The sequence below is a fragment of the Homo sapiens genome, chromosome Y, assembly GCF_000001405.40.
Source record: "Homo sapiens chromosome Y, GRCh38.p14 Primary Assembly".
NCBI classification, from domain to species: domain Eukaryota; kingdom Metazoa; phylum Chordata; class Mammalia; order Primates; family Hominidae; genus Homo; species Homo sapiens.
In genome coordinates, this window is record NC_000024.10 from 9,548,062 (window position 1) to 9,568,461 (window position 20,400).

The 20,400-nt window shown below is 41.1% G+C and overlaps 1 pseudogene; it reads left to right on the forward strand.

Annotated features, from left to right (window-relative positions):
• TSPY15P (testis specific protein Y-linked 15, pseudogene) lies at positions 1-2,812 on the forward strand (annotated as a pseudogene).

Here is a 20,400-nt window from a genome sequence, read left to right on the forward strand (position 1 = left end):
GGCCCTTAGCGCGCAGTCCCTTAGGGGTCTCCTGGAAACCCGGCGCATGCGGCCCTGAGGGCCCGCTGACCCACCGGGTGCCCATCTGCGACAGGGTTCCTATGGCGTGGGTGGAGCAGCACAGGCCTTGGTGTGTGCGGTGCCGAGGAGGGCACTGCCTTCAGGATGGAGGCTGTACAGGAGGGGCGGCCGGGGTGGAGAGTGAGCAGGCGGCTTTGGGAGTTGGAGGCAGTGCTGGTGGCAGATGACATAATGGCGGAGGTGGAGGTGGTGGCCCAGGAGGAGGCCCTCGTGGAGGGGCAGGTGGAGGCCCAGCGGGCACAGCCTGGCCCTGGGCCCATGACCCCAGAGTCTGCACTGGAGGAGCTGCTGGCCGTTCAGGTGGAGCTGGAGCCGGTTAATGCCCAAGCCAGGAAGGCCTTTTCTCGGCAGCGGGAAAAGATGGAGCGGAGGCGCAAGCCCCACCTAGACCGCAGAGGCGCCATCATCCAGAGCGTCCCTGGCTTCTGGGCCAATGTTGTATCCTTCTCAGTGTTTCTTCGGCCTTTCTAGTGGAGAGGTGCTCTCGGGAAAGTGTAAGTAACTGATGGGCAGCTCGGCTTCGATGTGACTCTTTGGGGAACAAAGGGGAGTTGCCACGGACAAATGTGGCTGTGGAAAGCCGGAGCAGGCGTGGGTACTATTGTCCTGCATGCGGCAGAGAAACCCTTGGTGATGCCGAGCAGCAGACGTTTGGGGCATCTTTTTGAAGAGCAGAAGCGAGTTCAGAGCAGAAGACGTTTTTCAGTGAATCAAGGTATTTTTAAGGGAGTGTGATTGCTGCCACTTGCTAGTCCGATCTGCGACTGGGCGTCTTCGACTATAAGCAGATTCTGCCACTCCTCAGACACCAGCAACTCTCCGCACATCACGCCTCCCCATGTCAGTGCAGTCAGCCTCAGAATTATACACCCTCCGTGAACACAGGAGGCCTTAGTTTACGGGGAGGGGGAGGCGAAAGGAGGTCATACATGGAAGCAGATCTGAGAAATCCCCTACCCCAGCCTCTGGGTGCTCTTAGGCCTTCTTCCCTGTTGCTCCTCGCTTTCCCTTCCATCGTGTGTAAAGTCTCTTTGACCTAAATCAGATTGCACACCACCCCCAGATGTCAGCCCTGATCACTGACCAAGATGAAGACATGCTGAGCTACATGATCCACCTGGAGGTAAGGCCAGGAAGACTGAGGCTAGAGGGTTTAGTGGGGGAGGGTAAGGGAAATAATTCATTCCTGTAAGCAACAGCAGGCATCTCACCCGAAAAGGTATTTAAGCTTTCTCCACCTTGCCCTGACAGGTGGAAGAAGTGAAGCATCCAGTTCACCTGTGCAAGATCATGTTGTTGTTTCAGAGTAACCCTTACTTCCAGAATAAAGTGATTACCAAGGAATATCTGGTGAACATCACAGGTGACAGGTGGCTCCCAGGATGGGTGGTGGAAGGAAGATGGTGGGTGGATCATTGCCAATGTGATCCAATCCCCTTCCCGCAAAAATTCCTGTCTCTGTAGAATACAGGGCTTCTCATTCCACTCCAATTGATTGGTATCCAGATTATGAAGTGGAGGCCTATCGCCGCAACCACCACAACAGGAGCCTGAATTCTTCAACTGGTTCTCTGACCACAACTTCGCAGGATCTAACAGGATTGCTGAGGTGAGTCCTCACTGGGAAACATGAGGAATGACCCCATGTGTTCCCAGCTGCTTGGGTCACCATTCTGAGTCCTGATGAGGCCTTTCCCGATGGATTCCCCTGACAGATCCTATGTAAGGACCTGTGGTGCAATCCCCTGCAATCCTACAAGAGGATGAAGCCACCTGAAGAGGGAACAGAGATTTCAGGTGAGCTGTTCAGTTGGAACTGAAGCTTTTTGATCCCCAGGATAAGGAGGTTGACACACCTGCCTATTCAGGGAGCCTGGAGGCTCATTTCAGAAATGTAGAAATTGAGCCTCCTTTCATACATGTAGAAATTCCTTGAGAGGAAGACAGAGTGTGACAGAATCCAGGACATTCATGGCATTGGGCTGAAAAAGGCACATTAGAGACTGCACTGCAAAGCACGTTATAGCTGTGAAGTCTTAAGCCCAGCGAAGCATCATCCATTTCCAGAATCACTGAGAAGAAAAGCTAAAAATCCTTCACTTCAGTCTGTGGCACTTGATTCCATGGCTGTCAACCCCACCGGCAGTCATCCTACCAACCCCATAAGATTGGGCTCCCTGAATGTGCGTCCTGGTCCTCCTTGCCCCAAACCACAAAGGACTGTTTACATTGATGGATTTCCTTAAGCTATTGCCCCATCAGATTTCTGTGTGCTTTTAGGGTACAGTGCATCTTGTTAGCTGACTCCCCTCACAGAGAATACTGGGAATGGGGCAGGGATTGCACAGAACAGTTTGTAACACGTGGTAGGAGGAAGTTTAAGGGATCACAAATGGGGAAGGGATATCCTTTTCTCAGCGGGCCCTACAATTGAAATATTTCAAAGTATGGCTCAGAGAAAATGCATTTTGACATGTGTTTGTGTTTCTCCAGGGTACTCCCAGATGTTGAGTTGAGTCTCTCCCCGATGTTGAGTTGAGTATGATGGAGCATCACACTTTACCGAAAGCAGCAGAACTCCTAAAAAGTTACTACAGTATGCAGGATGTCAGTATTCAGCATGGTCTTATGCACAGGAACTAAAGGAAAAACAGATCGAGTCACAGAAAATCAGACAGGAAGAGGGGGTAAACTTGGATTGTATGGAATGAAAAATAAACATTCTCAAGGATATGTGACTCTGTGTTTGTGTGTGTTTCTCTGTTTGGGTGTGTGTATGTGTGTGTATATTTATCCCCTGGATCCGGGTGTCATAATGAATTGATCAATCCATGTGCATTATTCTCTTCATGGAAATAACCAGTCTGTGTTGGAGCTGGGCCTCTAAAGTTGTAGAGTGAATAGGTGTGGAATGTGTTGAGATTCTTCCTACAGGACAGAGTTGGGGAGGTAAAAGCAAAAGACAGCTTAGTTGGAGGCTTACTTCGTCCTATGGAAGCAGAGGTAGTTCAAGGAAAGGGGTCAATAGGCACTAAGGTTTCCAGGGCCCAGTTTGCTGGGACCTCCAAAATCCTTCATTTTGGTATCATCATACCCAATAGATAGCACAGGATGATAGAAATCTTAAAGTTCAATTTCGTGTTGAATTCACATGTTCTCCTTTTAAAGGTGAATGCATAATCCTTTTCTGGGACAATCAGCCTCTCAGGACTTCTCAGACATCAACTTGAGAAGAAATGGGCATGTAACCTGTATGGAGGCACTGTGGGAAAGGTGACAGAGGCATGTGGGAAGGCATTCAGGATACTGGCATAGATGACTAAGGGAAAATGCAAACTTACAGAAGTGAGGGAAAAGGGGGAGGATTTGTGGAATATAAGATTGCTGGAGGATCCACACATGGACTCTCTTGTCACTTGATGACCAGGATATGGACACTCTTGTTGATGTTTATATCTTTAGTTGTTTTAAGCTTTTCTCCAAGATTCTATGTTAAGTGAGGAGCCAATAATGTATGTAGCTAACAACATTATGAGTGCATTTTGTGCTCTTGCACATTCTAGTGAGGCTCTATTCTCCCTAGTGATGGGCACTGCAGATTATTTCTAGAGCCAGGACCCTTTTATTTTCTTTGGCCTTTTCAGCATACTTTGCCTAAGATTAATAATATAAAGAGAATATAGTTGCAGAGTATGTGTTGCAAGCCTCACACAGGAGGACAAAACATACAGTGTTCATTCTCGAGTGGGTGGCTGCTTCCCAGGGACACCTGTGTCTATGCACAAGATAAGGGGTTGCCTCTATCATAGAAGGGGGAGGAGGATTTCATTGTTGGGCACAGAACTTTCTTCCCTGTTCCCAGATAAAACAGTTCCAACATGAGCATCCATGTTGGCCACACACTAATAGAGTGCTAACATTCCTGTCCTCTACAGACTCTGGTCAGCACAGCTCCTGAGAGAAGAGCTGTGTTGTTTCAGGGAAGGGTGTTTGACAGTCAAAGTTCATGAATCTGTTGTGCTGCCTTCAAAAAGCATTCCACACCTCCTGCTCGGTATCAGCAGTTGAGCTTTGAAAATCTATAGCCCAGTTTTGCCCCTGCTCCTATGCAAAGAGCTGAGGCTCTCCAGCAGGAGTCTTGTCCTCCTCTGACTACTGTCCCCATGTCCCACAAACACAGGAGAAACGGGTTTCCTCAGCAAATTATTATGAAAACAGTTGGAACCCTTTGGCCCCCGCAAGCTGCCATTATCTTACTGTGTGCTGGTCAAAGGCACTGTGGTCCAGTACAGTACCCCTATAGTGGAATGGGGCAACAGATTGGTGTGTGCACTCAGGGCAACTCAGATTAGGAAACATCTGGGGACTTGCCTATAATGAGGTCGTCTGAAAAGGTCTTGCCCCAAATTTAATGCATAGGAAAAAGTTGAGGAAAGGGTCTTGCAATTATTTTTCTAGGAGGTAAATAGAAAAGAAAAATACCGTAAATAGATGCCAGGGCTAGTTTTGGAGCTAGACTGTTTTAAAGTGGTACGGGAAGCACTTTTTCCAAGGCAGGCAGCAAACCAGGAACTGTCTACAATGGATGGGCATGCCATGAGTTGCTGGCTCAGCCATATTGACACCCCAGTAAGTGAATGCAGCAGACTGGGCTTCTTCCTCCATTCCTACATACAATTCAGTCTAGTGATTTCACATGAGAACCCTTCTTTTGGTATTATCAGAGATGGTGCTGAATTATACAGGCTGTCTAATGATTCTTCCACTGCATGTTCATGCACATGGGCCGCAGATACTAAGGTCACTGACAAATTTGTATTCTGCCTCAGTAACTCTGAAACACCTGTGTTATTTCTAGTGTCAGGGTCTTGGTGTTTTTTCATGTTTAAACTACCACGTGTGTGTTTGTAGTTGTGTATGTTTATTTTTCTGTGTGGGTTTATATGTTTTCTCTGACTCCACCTATGTCTCTGTCTACCCAATAGGTTTCCACACTACTTGTAGTAATTTTACATGCCTATCTCTACAACCGTGCTGGACTTTGTATCTGTGTCTTTGAACATCGATCACTCTCTGTCCCTTCCTTTTTTTCCTTTCTTTCCTTTACACCCCTCCTTTCTTCCTTCCCCACCACACGCTTTCCATCTGTATCATCTGTCTTTTTATTCTCTATCTAAATTCAGTTTGTAATTCTGAATCTGTTATCAGTGGCATCAGATTATCATTTTAATGTCTGGATGAAATTCCTCTTTCAAAGACTCTCAGCTGAAGGATATGAGTTCTTTTTTTGAGCCACAATGAAGGGTTTATTTCTGGCCGATCTAGCAATGACTGTTAAAAAAAATACTGGGCATGACAGGAAAGCCAAAAATCACACGGATTCCACTCATCCCACTCAGTGTATCCAAAAGGTGGAAAAGTGAAAAAGTGGGTGATTCCTGTGGTCTCCAAAGCAGAATGAGAACTTTCAAGTGATTGTGTCAGATCATTTTCCAGGAGGCAGCTGTAGTTCGTAGATACATGCTGTGTAAACACAAGCACAATGATGAAACCAATAAAATGTTCTTCTCCCTCTGTTTTAATGTTATTTTATCTTTTTAACAAATATTATACATACATAATTTCTTCATGACATGTCATAAACTATTGTTTAATGAACTCATACATGAGTTCTTCATTGTGTCAAAGAATGTCAAAGCATCATGATTCGTTATGACCTGCTACAGATAAGTGATAGGAAATAACAAAATGAGGGCATATAGAAAGGACAAATCATGATCTGAGAACTTCACCAAGAGGTTCAGGCTAGATGAATGTATGTCAGGGATTCAGAAAGAAACTTGCACTTGTTATTAAGGGCTATGAATCCAAAAGAAGCACTCTTTGACATTTATGTCTTTTAACTCATTTGGGGAGTTTGGTGTGTTATTATTTACAGTGTTCTCTCTACCTTTTTTCATTATTCTCCCCATCTGGGGCTGTTATTATGTGAAAGCTGTTTCCTAGGATTGCATAAGGTCTACTGATATTTCATTTATTTTGATTCTCCTCACACTACATAGTTTTAATTTACCTAATGTGACGCTTTTTGTGTTCATTTCCTTAGAATGGGTCTTACTCTGTCTCCTAGGTTGAAGAGCAGCCCCATGATCTCTGCCCACTGTAGCCCAGACACCACACACCTATGTGATCCTCTCAACTTAGACTCTCACACACCTGGCAGTACAGGTGCATGCCACCCCTCCCAGCTATGTATTAATTAATTAATTAATTAATTAATTACTTTTTGGATGTGGGCCCATGTTGCCCCAGGCTCATCTGGAACTCCTGAGTGCAGGCAATCCTCCCACCTCAGCCTCTCAAAATGCTGGGATTACAGGTGTGACCCATGGCCCGGCCATGGCTTTGTGTTTTTTGCTTTTTATTCCTCCTCCTCACGTCTTCTATTGAAACATGCAGTGAAGGTTTCAATTCATGGACTATAGTCTCCGCGCCTGTAATTTCTATCTTTCAACTCATCATCGGCCTTCACTGGGATTTTCATATATATGTATATACATGTACACATATATTTTTTTCTTAACTTACCAAACGACGTCGCATTCTTTCCTGTATCATGAAAAAGACTTTGATAGAAAAGAAAAGCACTGCTTTATAATAAAATACTTTATTGACATTTATTCTCTTGAGGAATTTTAAAAATTGTTTATTTTTTAAAATGGCGTATGAAAAGATACATGTTTATAACTTACGGGGTGATGTTCCAAAGGTCATATACATTATGCAGTGGATGCATTCAGCTAATCAACATAAGCATGACCTCACATACTTGTCATTTTTGTTGTGAAAAAACTGACAAGCACTGTCTTCGAATTTTTTAGAGAAAGAATATATTATCCCTAGTTATAGTCAGCATGCTGAAGAAAATGTTTTTAACCTATTCCTCCTTTCTAACTAGAAATATGTATTTTTGATACAGCATCTCCTCAGTGCACCCTCTTCACCCCAACCATTGGAGTCACTACCTCTGTGAGGTCTGCTTTTTATATTTCATATAAGGATGAGGTCATGTGCTATTTGCCTTTCTGATACATGGCTTATGTCACTTAACAAAATGGCATGCACACATTCAGCATATTCACACACATTGTCACAACTGGCAGGATTTCCTTTTTTATTACTGCAGTGCATTTTTCTGTTGTGCATATGTGTTTTTGCCCCATTTTTTTAATCCACTCATCAATCGAGGGACTCTCAGGTTGCTTCTGTATTTTGGCTATAGCAAAAATGTAAAGAGTGCAGCAATAATTGCATCGGTGCATGCACCGCTTCAACATACTGATATGTGTATTTGTGGGTGTGCCCCAGAATTCTGATTTGCTGGATCATATGGTGGGTGGTTCTACTTGTAGATTTCTGAATACTGTTTATACTTAAATAAAAGCCATAAAGCTTCTTGTAATGCCTGCACTACTTTACATTCTCACCAAAAGTGAGCAATGATTTCCTTTTCTCTGCATCCTCACTAGAAATGAGCATTTTTGTTTGTTTGTTTGTTTGTTTTGTCTTTTGGATAATAGGCATTCTGACTGAAATGAGAAGAAATCTCACTCTGTTTTTGATTTGCATTTTCCTGAAGGATTAGGACTTTTTAGTGTGTCTTCTGGGCAACTGTATGTCTTCGTTTTACAAATGAGTATTCACAGCCTTAGCCCATTGGTTTTCATGCTATTGATTTGTTGGGAGTTCCTTATGTACTGTGAATATTCACCAGTTAGCAGATGCATGGTGATCCAATCATTCCTCCCATCCTGTAGGATGTCCCTGTCTGTTTAGTTTTCTGTGGTGTGTGGAAGCACTTTAGTTTGATATGATTCCGTTCTCTATTTTTGATGGTGTTTACTGTGCTCTCGCAGTCACTTTGAGACCATCATTGCCCACAGGGTTGCCGTGGAGCTTCTTCCTTGTGATTTCTCCTAGTATTTTTATCGTTTCAAGTCTGACATTGGAGTTTGGTGAGAAATAATCCACTTGTAAAATGCTTTATGTGGATACTCAGGTTTTCCCCAGCCTAGTTTATAGAAGATACTTGATTTTGCACTGGGTATTCTTGCTTCTTTGGGAAAAGGCTGTGAGCTGCAAATGCAGTGACTTAGTTCTGGGCTCCTATTGTTTCTCATAAGCTCGAGTCTTCCCTTTTCTGCCAGTGCTATTCTATTTTGGTACGTAAAGCTTTGTAGTAGATCATGAAGTTAGGCAGTGTGATGCCTCCAGCTTTGTGCTTTTTACTGGTTTGCTCTGGGTTTTCAGGATCTTCTGCCATTTCATAGCAAATTTAGGATTCTCAGATTGTTTTTCTAAGAATGGGTCATTGATATTTTTACAGGGGTTGTATAGAATCTGAAGATCACTTAGGTAGTACTGATGTCAGTGCCATTTAGACAATGTGTGTGTATGCACATGCACAGGGCCAAGAGACACTGGGTGTCCTCACCAATAGTGAGGTGCGCCTTAATGTCCAGACAGATTGCCTTCCTGGAAGCACTCGGAAGGTCCCCTTCCTTCTTGCTGTCTCTTCACATTTCCTCCCCTGTGAGCCCTCTGTGGTCCTCCAGATTCCCTGTCTTTTTGGGGGGTGGAGAGTTGCTGAGTTTGGCCTGCCTTTTTTAGGGGCGGGGAGTTGCTGGCTGAATGAGGATGGCAGAGGGAAACGAGCATGTCAGAGGAGACTGGCATCATCCAAACGGAACTTGGCAGCCCTGGGAGAGTCATTCTGGGAGGATGCAGACCTAGAGAGGCCTCAGGTGGGCATCTGTGTGGAGGGTGAGAGAGCCCTGGTTGAGTCCAAGCTGAACCCCAGGTAGTAAGTAGCAAGTCTCAGGACAAGGAAGGGAGCTAGCAAGGGCTGATGAGGCAGCTATCTCTTGATCCTGGCTTCTCACCCATTGACCTTAGCTACTTATGTCTATTAAGCAGATTAGGGTTCCCCCATCCTGAAACGTGGGTACTACAGTTCCCTGGTGGGCCTTTCTCCACCAGCCTATGATGGCCTAAGTTTGCTTACTGCAGTCTCCTCCTTGAGCCTTGGCTTCTCTATGTGTGTCCTACCTCCAAGACCCACAGGCCTCTCAACCCCCAGCCCTGGGCTGCTTCCCTGGCCTCTTCTCTGTTCCCTCTCTGAGGGCCTAACTCCCTTGGGTAGTGCTGCAGAATATAGAGCCACAGGCCCTGGCTGATGATCTGGTGGACTGGGCAAATTGGTCATGACAGGTCAGGTTCTGGTTCAAAGCCAATTCCTCTGATGCCAAGGAATGTCGAAGAAGGTCCTTTGCCATGATGCCCCATAGCTGCCCCACCTCAGCAATCGTGCCGTACCCTGGGCAGTCACAGTCAGCCAATCAGCTGAAGAAGCTCAGTTAGGTAGTGACCTGCGGGAAACTCGGGCTTTCACCTGCATGACCCTAGAACCACTGGACTGCAGTGGAGCCAGTCGCCCTGTATCCTGGAGAGAGAGGAGTCAGCAAGGCTCACGCCAGGCACGGCTTCCTGCATACTGTCCCCTCTAACATGCCGGGAGGCACTCCTCATTGAGGATACCAATGCAATACTCCTTACTGATCACTTCATTGCGGAAGTAAACGTTGTGATGAAAGGCAAACTTCTTCCTGACACTTGTACTCAGGATAGTTGAGTTCCTTCACCTGCCTGTCCAAGAGGGAGAAAGAGGACAGTCAAGGGATAATTTCATCTAGGTGGGCTGATGTGGCCTTGTAGCTGGGGTGAAGCATGCGTTTCCACTTCCCAGCTCTCGCACTGAGACACCACTGAGCCCCAGGAGAACCTCAACCTGACCAGGACCTTAGCACCCTCCTCCAGACCCAGGCTTCCCATCCTGACTTGCCAATCCAACATGTAGATTTGCAGGACTTCCTCATGGTTTCTGAGCTACTTGCTGTCATCAGAAATGATCATAACTTTTAAACTGTTGTTTATGCCAACCTAAATTTTTCATTTTTACTACCTCATGTTTTGGATGAGGCATGTATTTTTAAATTTATTTTCACCCTTATTGTACCTCTGTGATAAACTGCTTACTTACATTCATACCATAATTTTCTTTCACTTTTACTTCTCTGTTCCTAAAGATTCACTGAAACTAAGAATTCTATTTACGCTTGTATCTTTCAGCAACCATATGTCAGATAACAGTGCACATTACTGCAGAAATCACATATACAGGTCCAAAGGGAGATGACGAAGAAGAAAGCAAGCTTTAAAGTCTATACATTCCTAACACTGTATCAGAAACTCACAAATAACAATGAAATCAAAGAATGATCACAGCCAATTCCATTTCATACCTAGACTGAAATATAAAACTTCAAAAGAAAAGAAAGTTAAGAACTTTGGGTTTGTAAAAATTTTCCTATATAGATAAAATTATTGGTAACTTTGTCTCACTAGAAAACATAAACAAAAATCCACATTTTTCATATGTGTAAATATACATATTTTTATTTCCATCAGTTATGACATGCAAGCAAGTAATAAAGTGAAAATACAATAAAATGATATATGGAACTTCCTCAGTCTCAAAATATTACATTGAGACTATTAATTTTATGAAAACCATAAAGAATGCTTCATGAAATTATATTATACGTACTTTTTAGTATTTTACTTACATTTTAAATAATCAACAATTAAAGGGAATTTTTCAACATTATTGATTATGAATACCAATATTTTCCTTGAGTAATCCTGTTGAAATTAACTATTTTAAATAAAACATTAAAAAGAAAGTATATTAAATGATTTCAGCTTTTGATGAAGTCATACACCTGTAATTGTAGTAAGGTGAAGTATAACTTTCTCCTCATGATTAATCTTTTATAACACCAGTGTAGTTGTTTTCTCTGACACCAACATTGTGATATCTCAGGGCTTTACTGTATCCATACATTACATGCCTCCAGAGAGTAGGCTTCAAACATAATGAAAAATTATATTTGTGACAAAATTGTTGGAAAGGGAATGGTAAAATGGGAGAATAATTTCTAACTTTCTGACTGTTGGTCAATGGAATTATATATATTTAGATACAGACACGTATTTGCACACTGTAAGTTTGCCCTTGTACATATACATTTATATGAGATACCCATAATATATGGGTTGTGTAATCTTTTAATTAATCCACAATTGTATATGTGTGAAATTGGATAAGCAGTTACTGTTTCTTTACTCAATTTGATGGAAAGCCAAAAAAACTCTGTCAACATTCATTTCAATTAATCCAATACTGTTAACTACTGCTAGCTTCATTCTCCTTGTTCTCTTTTGTCAATCTGAAAGTTAATTCTCACTCTAATTCAACTCTCAGGGTGCGATCCACAAAAGACTTTCATCTTGCTGTCGATTGTGACCTCTAACTCCACCTCTTTCTTCCTATAGCAGTCCTACCTTTGCATATGTAGTAAACTTTGTACATAGTTAAAAGGATAAAAGTTCAGTGAAATGTCAAGTCATACTGTGAAATGTTCCATTGTTTCTATATCTCTAATTGTCCTTTCATGTTATAGAGGTAAGAAAAAAAATTCAATGTTTTTCTTAGTATCCAGTCTAATGCACTCTTTCTTCATAATATGCCAAACCCATCCCTTCAAGACATTGACATCTAAACATGGGTGAACATCTCAAAATCTCTTCTCATTAATAACCATTATGTTAATCACTATTGCCCACAACTGGAATCTGACTGTTAAATCCCCCAGTGGAAATTGCTGTAATGGCTCAAACTACTGGAATGTCTATTTTTTTACCTGAAAATATCTGATGAGCATATACATATGCTATGTAAATGAACATATTGTATATTAACAACATACCTTCACTAATAATAGGTATCCCAAACCTTTGAGCCAAACTGAGCTCAGATGCTCCCACAAACCAAGCTTTTTCCTGCACAGATTTCTTTTTATGTCAAAAAACCACAACTCCAGGCCGGGCATGGTGGCTCTTGCCTGTAATTTCCACATTTTGGGAGGCCGAGGTTGGTGGGTCACTTGAGATCAGGAGTTTGAGAACAGCCTGGGCAACACGGCAAAAACCTGTCTCTACCAAAAATATAAAACTTATCCAGGCCTAGTGGCACATTCCTGTAGTCCCAGCTGCTTGGGAGGCTGAGGCAGGAGAACCGCCTGAACCTGGGAGGCAGAGGTTGCAGTAAGCCAAGATCTCACTACTGCACTCCAGCCTGGATGACACAGCGAGACCCTGTCTCAAAAAAGAAAAAAAAAAAAAAAGACAACTGCACTTGTCCACTCGCTTAGGTAAAAAATACTGTAGTTGGCTGGGCACGGTGGCTCACGCCTGTATTCCCAGCATGTTGGACTTTGGAAGGCTGAGATGGGCAGATCACCTGAGTTCAGGACTTGGAGACCAGCCTGGCCAACATGGTGTAGCCAGGCCTCTACTAAAAATACAAAACCATTAGCTGGGTGTGGTGATGCATGCTTGTAATCCCAGCTACTGGAGAGGCTAAACCTGGGAGGCGGAGGCTGTGTTGAGCAGAGATCCTGCCACTGCACTCCAGCCTTGGCTACAGAGCAAGAGTTCCCTGTGAGAAACAAAGGTGAATAAAACAACAAAAAAAAAATTAGAAAAATAATACCCACTGCAAAAGTTTGCCACAGAAAAGATTAAACATTTCACCAACTTCTACCTTCTATAACGGAAGCCAAAGTTATTTGGACCAACCCTCCTGTATTAGTTCATTTTCATGCTGCTGATAAAGACATACTTGAAACTGGGAAGAAAAGGAGGTTTAATTGGACTTACAGTTCCACATGGCTGGGGAGGCCTCAGAATCATGGTATGCGAATAAAGGCACTTCTTACATGCAATGCCAAGAGAGAATGAAGAAGAACTTAAAGCGGAAACCCCTGAAAAACCCATCAGATCTCGTGAGACTTCTTCACTATCACAAGAACAGCATGAGAAAGACCAACCCCCGTCGTTCAATTACCTCCCCCTAGGTCCTACCTGCAACATGTGGGAATTCTGGGAGATACAATTGAAGTTGAGATTTGAATGGAGACACACCAAACCATGTCACTTCCCAAACAATTAAAAATTCCCAATAGAAGAAGCATTAATTATATCAAAAAGTGGTGGACCAAGAAGGAACTATTAGCCTCATATCTCAAGAAAGACTCCAGTCAAGGCCTAGGGACTACTCATGAAAAGAGTTTAATAGCCGACTCTCTCCCAGTGGATCTGGATTCCACCGGACTGTATCTTCACAGTAAGGGTGAAAGAGAAGCAAACCCATTCCTATTTCCAAGCTCAAGGAACTTTGGTCAAAGTTCTCTTGGAGCTGAGCAGAACAAGGAGGCAAACAGAAACAATTTGTGTCCCTGAGAAGTCATGGCCACAGGCTGGCTATCACACAGATTGTCAAGCCAGTTCCATATTGCATGGGTATTACAGAAAATCTCAAAACATAAATTTGTGTGTGTGTTGTCCCAGAGTAGCAGGATCTGGCAGAAGGAAATTTCCTTCTAACCCTCAAAGAATCCACATAAATCTTGTTACATTTGGGATTTTACCATTTGCTTCATGAATGATAATGGACTTTAGTTTTCATATCTTTTTATCCACTCAGTTTATGTCTTGTTGGCATCAAAGTTCTGCTTGCCTCACACAATGAGTTTAGGATTTTCCCTTTTTCATTCTATAGAATTCTTCATATATATTGAAATGCTCTGCCTGGGGAAAAAATCTGAGCCTAGTGTTTTATCTCTAGGAACAATCCTTTATTTCCTTGAACATGTATGAGATAATTCAGATTACATATGCCTTCTTGTATCAATTTTACTAAGCTATAAATTTATAAAATTCTATTTGGTCTAAGTTTTCAAATTTGTATCATAAAGTTTTAATCATATTTCCTTATTAGCTTCTTAATCTCTACTGTATCTATGCTTATGTATTTTTTAAATTCTTCATTTTATTTGTGCTTTTCTCTTTTTTTCTAACCTTGCCTGCGGTTTGCACCATTTATTACATTTTTCCAACAACCAAAGGTTGGCTTTGTATGTTTTACTAATTTTCTCTACATCATTATCCCCTCACTTTAGTTTTTCAGAATTGATTCTGTTGTTTCTGTTCTAATTCTTTCTTTAAATATCTAGTACATTAATTTTCAAGTTGTAGAAACATTTGTCTATGAACTCCTATTGCAATATCACTTTTCCTGCTACCCACAAATTTAATCTGTAATATTTGCAGTACCATTAATTTCTATTATGAATTTATATTATGATAATCCATGAGTTGCTGAGAAATAGCTGTTATAATTTTGTTGTTCAATTCCCATTTAATTTTATTTTAACTTGTGCTAACTCAGTTGAAAATTCTTTACTAATTTTTTAAATCTCATATCAAGACTTTTATTCACATCAATTGTTCTATAAATGCTCCCTCCTTGAAGAACACTCTCTTGTAGGCTGCTTCTCTGCAACAGTCTTGACTGGTTGCCTTCTAGGCCTGATTCAATTGTCTCATCCTAGGAATTTCATTCACTACGCTTTTAAGAATTTATTTCTCTTTTGTTGTGTCTCTTATTTTCTGCATTTCAGAATCTTTGTCTGTCTTGGTTTACTTCTTCCTTCTGGTTGGAAGAAATCTCTAGTAGTTTCTTGAGAAAAGTTTCACAGGGAGACAAAATTTCAGAGTTGTCATATTTCTGAGAAATGTATGTTTTCTCCTTGTACATTTGATTTTAGTCTATGTGGAAATAACAATGTATATCAGAAATCATTTTCTTTTAGAATTTTCAAATCAGAACTCCGTAATTCATTGCCTTCTGCTTTATAGTGGTGGAGTTGATTTTTTTTTTTTTATTTGAGATGGAGTTTCGCTCTTGTTGCCCAGAGTGGAGTGCAATGGCATGATCTCAGCTCATTGCAACCTTTACCTCCTGGGTTCAAGCAATTCTCCTGCCTCAGCCTCCCCAGTAGCTGGGATTACAGGCACGCACCACCATGCCTGGATAATTTTGTGTTTTTAGTAGAGACGGGGTTTCTCCCTGTTGGTCAGGATGGTCTCAAACTCCTGACATAAGGTGATTTGCCTGCCTTGGCCTCCCAGAGTGCACCTTGGCCTCTCAAAGTGCTGGGATTACAGTCATGAGACACCATGCCTGGCCAATGTTGAAAATTTTTAAATCATCTGATTCCTCATCCTTTGTACCTGACCTATTTTTACCTCTCTGGAAACTTACACAATTTTCTCTTTGTTCTCAGTGTTCCCAAATTTTACATTGATATATCTTGACATGAGTCTATTTTCATCTATTTTGCTAGGTGTTCACCTTTTAATCTATAAATAAGCATCCTGAAGTTCTGAGACTTTTTAATTATTTTGCCAACAATTTATTCCCCTTTGTTTTACTTATTTATTTTATTTCTATAACTCATATAATTAAAATAATTGGAAGAAATTATATTGGAGAAGAAGATAGCACCACACTGATTGTGTTTGTGTCAGACTATCACAGCTCAAGGTTGTCATGTTTTATTAAGGAGAAATGTTGTATTTCTTGGTATTCACATTGTAACCTGAAGAAGGGCAATGACTGTCAAAAATTTAAATGTATGGGTAATAGTTAGAAGATGCAAGCACTGTATCCTCCAGAATTTTAGCATATGCAAACCTTTAAATTCCAGGCAAGTTGACTTAAGCTTCAACATTCTCCCAGCTAAAATGAATCCATTTGTGCTAATTTCTGTGATCAAAGGTGAATAAGACATTGTTTCTGCCTTCAGTGATAGCTCAATCCAAAGGGAGACAAATAGAAATGATGTAAAAAGAGAGATATGTAGTCCATGCATGGTGGCTCACGGCTATAACCCCAGCACTCTGGGAGGGAAAGGTTGGAGGATCATGAGCTCAGGAGATTGAGACCATCCTGGCAAACAAGGTAAAACCCTGTCTCTACAAAAGATACAAAAATTAGCCAGGCATGGTGGCACATGCCTGTAGTCCCAACTACTTGGGAGGCTCAGGCAGGAGAATTGCTTGAAGCTGGGAGGTGGAGGTTGCAGTGAGCGGAGATCATGCCACTGCATGCCAGCCTAGGCAACAGAGCGAGACTCTGTCTCAAAACAAAACAAAACAAAACAAAAAAAAACCAGATACGTAAAGTGCTCTAAAAGCTGAGAAAAGGGACAGAATATCTGTGACAGGTAACTTGTTTGGGGCAGTTGGAAATACGGAGGTCTCAGTGTGTGCTTTCACTATGTCCCTAAAGGTGTTGAATGTGGAGTGCTCAAACCTCAAGCTTATAGCTTCATGAAGGAAAAATTATGTTAGAATGAGACAAAAAGCCCCTCAACCACTACATCAATTATTTTATTCCTGAATAACTTACAGCAGAATGTCAATCTTTAATGAGTAGAAATGCTTCTCAATCATACAAACAACTTAGATTCACCTGGGGAGTTAACAAAAAGCATCCCACATCTGAGATCTACCCTAGACCAATTATATCAGAATTTATGGGGATCAATGGATTCTGGATATGTGAGCTTTTGTAAGCTTGGCAGATAACTTTAATGTGCATTCAAAATTGAGAGCAACTATGTTAAGAACAATAATCCATGACAGTAAGTTCCTATCTACTCATCTGCCCTTAATTATATTACACTGTTCTCATGCAGCATGATACAAGTAAAAATTATTATTATTATTACTATTATTATTATTATTATTTTGAAATGGTGTCTAGCTCTGTTGCCCAGGCTGGAGTGCGTTGGCGCAACCTCAGCTCACTGAAACATCTGACTCCTGGGTTCAAGGGATTCTCCTGCCTCAGCCTCCCAAGTAGCTGGGATTACAGGCACCCACAAACATGCCCAGCTAATTTTTGTATTTTCAGTAGTGACGTGGTTTCACTGCATTGGCCAGGCTGGTCTCCAACTCCTGACTTCGTGACCCACCCACCTTGGCCTCCCAAAGTGCTGGGATTACAAGTTGAGCCACCGCACCCAGCCAACATTAATATTTTAAAATATTTAGAAATATATGTTGCAGGGCACAGTGGCTCAAGCCTGTAATCCCATCACTTTGAGAGGCCAAGGTGGGTGGGTCACTTGAACTGAGGAGTTCAAGACCAGCTTGAAAATATGGTGAAACCCGGTGTCTACAAAAAATACAAAAAATTAGCCAGGACTGGTGGTGTGTGCCTGTGGTCCCAGCTACTCAGGAAGCTTAGGTGAGAGGATTGCTCAGGAGGATCACTTGAGCTCAGGAGGCTGAAGGTGCAGTGTGCAGAGATTGAGCCTCTGCATTCCAGTCCAGTCTGGGCAACAAACTGAGTCTCTGTCTCATATATGAATGTGTGTGTGTGTGTGTGTGTGTGTGTGTATACATATACATGTATATGTACATATACATGTATATGTACATATACACACACATATACATATATAGGAAAGAGTGAAACTCCCTCTCATACACACACACACACACACACACACACACACACACATATATGCTTGGCCACTTTAATTCCTCTACAATGGAATTCTGAGCAGCATGCTTAAGGGTCAATATCAGGAACTGCAGGTAGTCAGCCTGTGCTAGAAATATTCAGAGTGGGATTTTTCACATTATACAGTTTCATCTTCTGAGTGTACTTCCTGAGGCTATTGTTCTCTTCATATCTTGCAGATCTTTCTGTGCAAAAGGCCACATGCACCAACAGTTTTTTTTTTTTTTTTTTTTTGCTAAGGGTCTTCTAATTAATTGGAGGACTTCAGTCGAAAAATTTCTAAGGACAAGATTTTTCCTCTTTTGGCTCAGGAAACTGCAGGCATCAGTTACACAACAATATTTAACAGTAGCACAGCTAATAAGTCATATCCATTGCCTTAAACAAAATGTACAGAATTCAGTATTTTTAGTTACACACAAACACTATATAGGGTTTGCAATTAATCATTTTTATATTCTATATTCTCTCTGATACTGAACACAGAACTTCAAGAAGAGTTTCACACAATGATTTATTCAGTAAATATGCATAGAGTTGCATAAGTACTGAGATTAGAAAACATACCATGTATCTGCCCTCATCATGTTCTCATTCTATTAAATGCTGTAATAACACAACGTTGAGTCATAAAAGTTTCGAAAGAGAAGTACACACACAAAAAAAGCTAGGCAAATACATGGAACATTATGATCACTTAGAGCTGGTATCAGTTAAAGCCAGGTCTTCAAGACCCAGAAATGCCAGGATAGAAAGTATAGAACAAACTGTGTACACAAAGGCAAGTTTTTGTTGTTGTTGTTTTTGTTTCATAGGAAAATAAGATCAGAGTTTCACGAAGGTTGTAAGACTAATTGCAATATATAGGATGGGTTGAAGATCAGCAAGAGAAGACAGAAGGTGAGTTATGAGTTTTATTAAATGGTTAAACTAATAGATGATGGTGAACTGGGCAAGGAAAGTTGAAGCAAGGACTGGAAGAAAGAGACAGATGCAAGAATCATTGCAAAGATAAGGTACAAAAGTCTTGGCATGAGTTTTCAAGTTGAGGCTAGTAAAAAATATTGTGGGATTCTTGGCATTCATCTATCCATCAAATTATTCAAGGAATCTTTATTAAGATTCAATATTATTATTAATCTTTATTATTATTCAAGATTATTAAGATTTATGATTCATTGAATAATAAATATGCCATAAATATTTATTACTATGCAACAAGCACTGTGCTGGGTTCTGGAGGTACAGCAATGAATATGGGGTTAATGGTCCCTGACTTCATAAAGCTTTATTTACAGGGAGAGACAGATAATAAATAAAAGACACAAGCAGTTGTAAATGCTGTGAAGGAAATTTTGGGATTTTGAAAGAGTGTAACAGACAGTAGTGATGGTTGGTATAACAGACAGAACTACTGTATATTGGGCACTAAGTGAAGCTTTCTCCAAAGAAGTCTTTTGTGAGATATCAGAAAGAGTAGCCATTGAAAAAGAGGGAAAAAAATCTGCCAAATCTCTAAAATAGGACAATTTTGGAATAGTTCTGTGTTTGAAGAACAGAGAGTTGCTAATGTGCAGAATAATGCTGAGAATTTGACTAAGAGGAAAATGGTAAAGTAACCAGCAGTTTTCATAGTACAGATGGGAATTCTGTCCTTGATAAAAGTAGTTCCAGTGGAATGAGACCAAAACCAAATTGAACTGAACTGAAAAGCCAGTGGGAAGAAACGAGGGAAGTGGGTACAGCGTGCTCAGTGGAGAAAAGTAATGAAGGGGTAGGTGGCCGGGGGGTAAACAACGGGAAAAATTCTAATTTATAAAAGCAATGTAAGAATTTAGATCGCAAATGTATATGTATACTGAGTTGGTAGAGAGGGAGGGATTAACATACATGAGAAAATAAAATTGAGAGCAGTGGATTGCGGTTTCTAGCACCTACAGTGCACTCTCACTTTGCCTGTGAGTTGGATAAGTGGCTGAAAGCTGATTCTTTTTCAAAGTTGGTTTCTGTTTGGGAAAGAAGGGAGTAGGGAACAACATGACACTGTACACTGCATAGCAAAATAAGGATATTGAGTACATAGGGAAGAAAGAGCTCAGGTACAAGAAGATCTTGTTCCTCAAACCACATGCTGCCTACTTTCTAGTCTAGCTTCACATTAGCCCTACTCCAGTTTCCAAAAGAACAATGATCGTTTCATTTAATCTAAGAGCATTTACATATCCCATCATATACATCTGTCATCTAAAAGAAGAAGGAGTATTTTAGGACTACAGATAAAAATAATGTAATATTAAGATTAAAATCAAATAACAAATCTAGCTTCATTGAAAGTCTGTCTATACTGATATCTTATTTTTTTTTTAATTCTGCCAAGTATTAGTGAAAATATTCTCCCAGTCTTGTGTCTGTCTGGAAATCAGTATTGGGAAATCACTAGACTGATTGCCTTATGAAATTGCTTCCAATTCAAATTCTATAATTCAGTTAATAATTAGAAAACATATCATATTTGAAGTAAAATAATTTCCTTTTTTATCTTCCATTCAAAAATCTTACAAATAAGTCTTCCTTTCCCAAGTGACCCTTGCAGTACTGTCAGCTATATAGAGATCTAAAGCAGCACTTTGCCACCTTCATCAGTTTCAAAGGCCTATCCTCCCAACTTTTCAGAGAGCCCACAGCATTTACAATAAACATATCTCTCTGCACAACAGGCAATAGCTGCTTCAACTGTTCTCTGTCAGCCTGAATGTTGATTA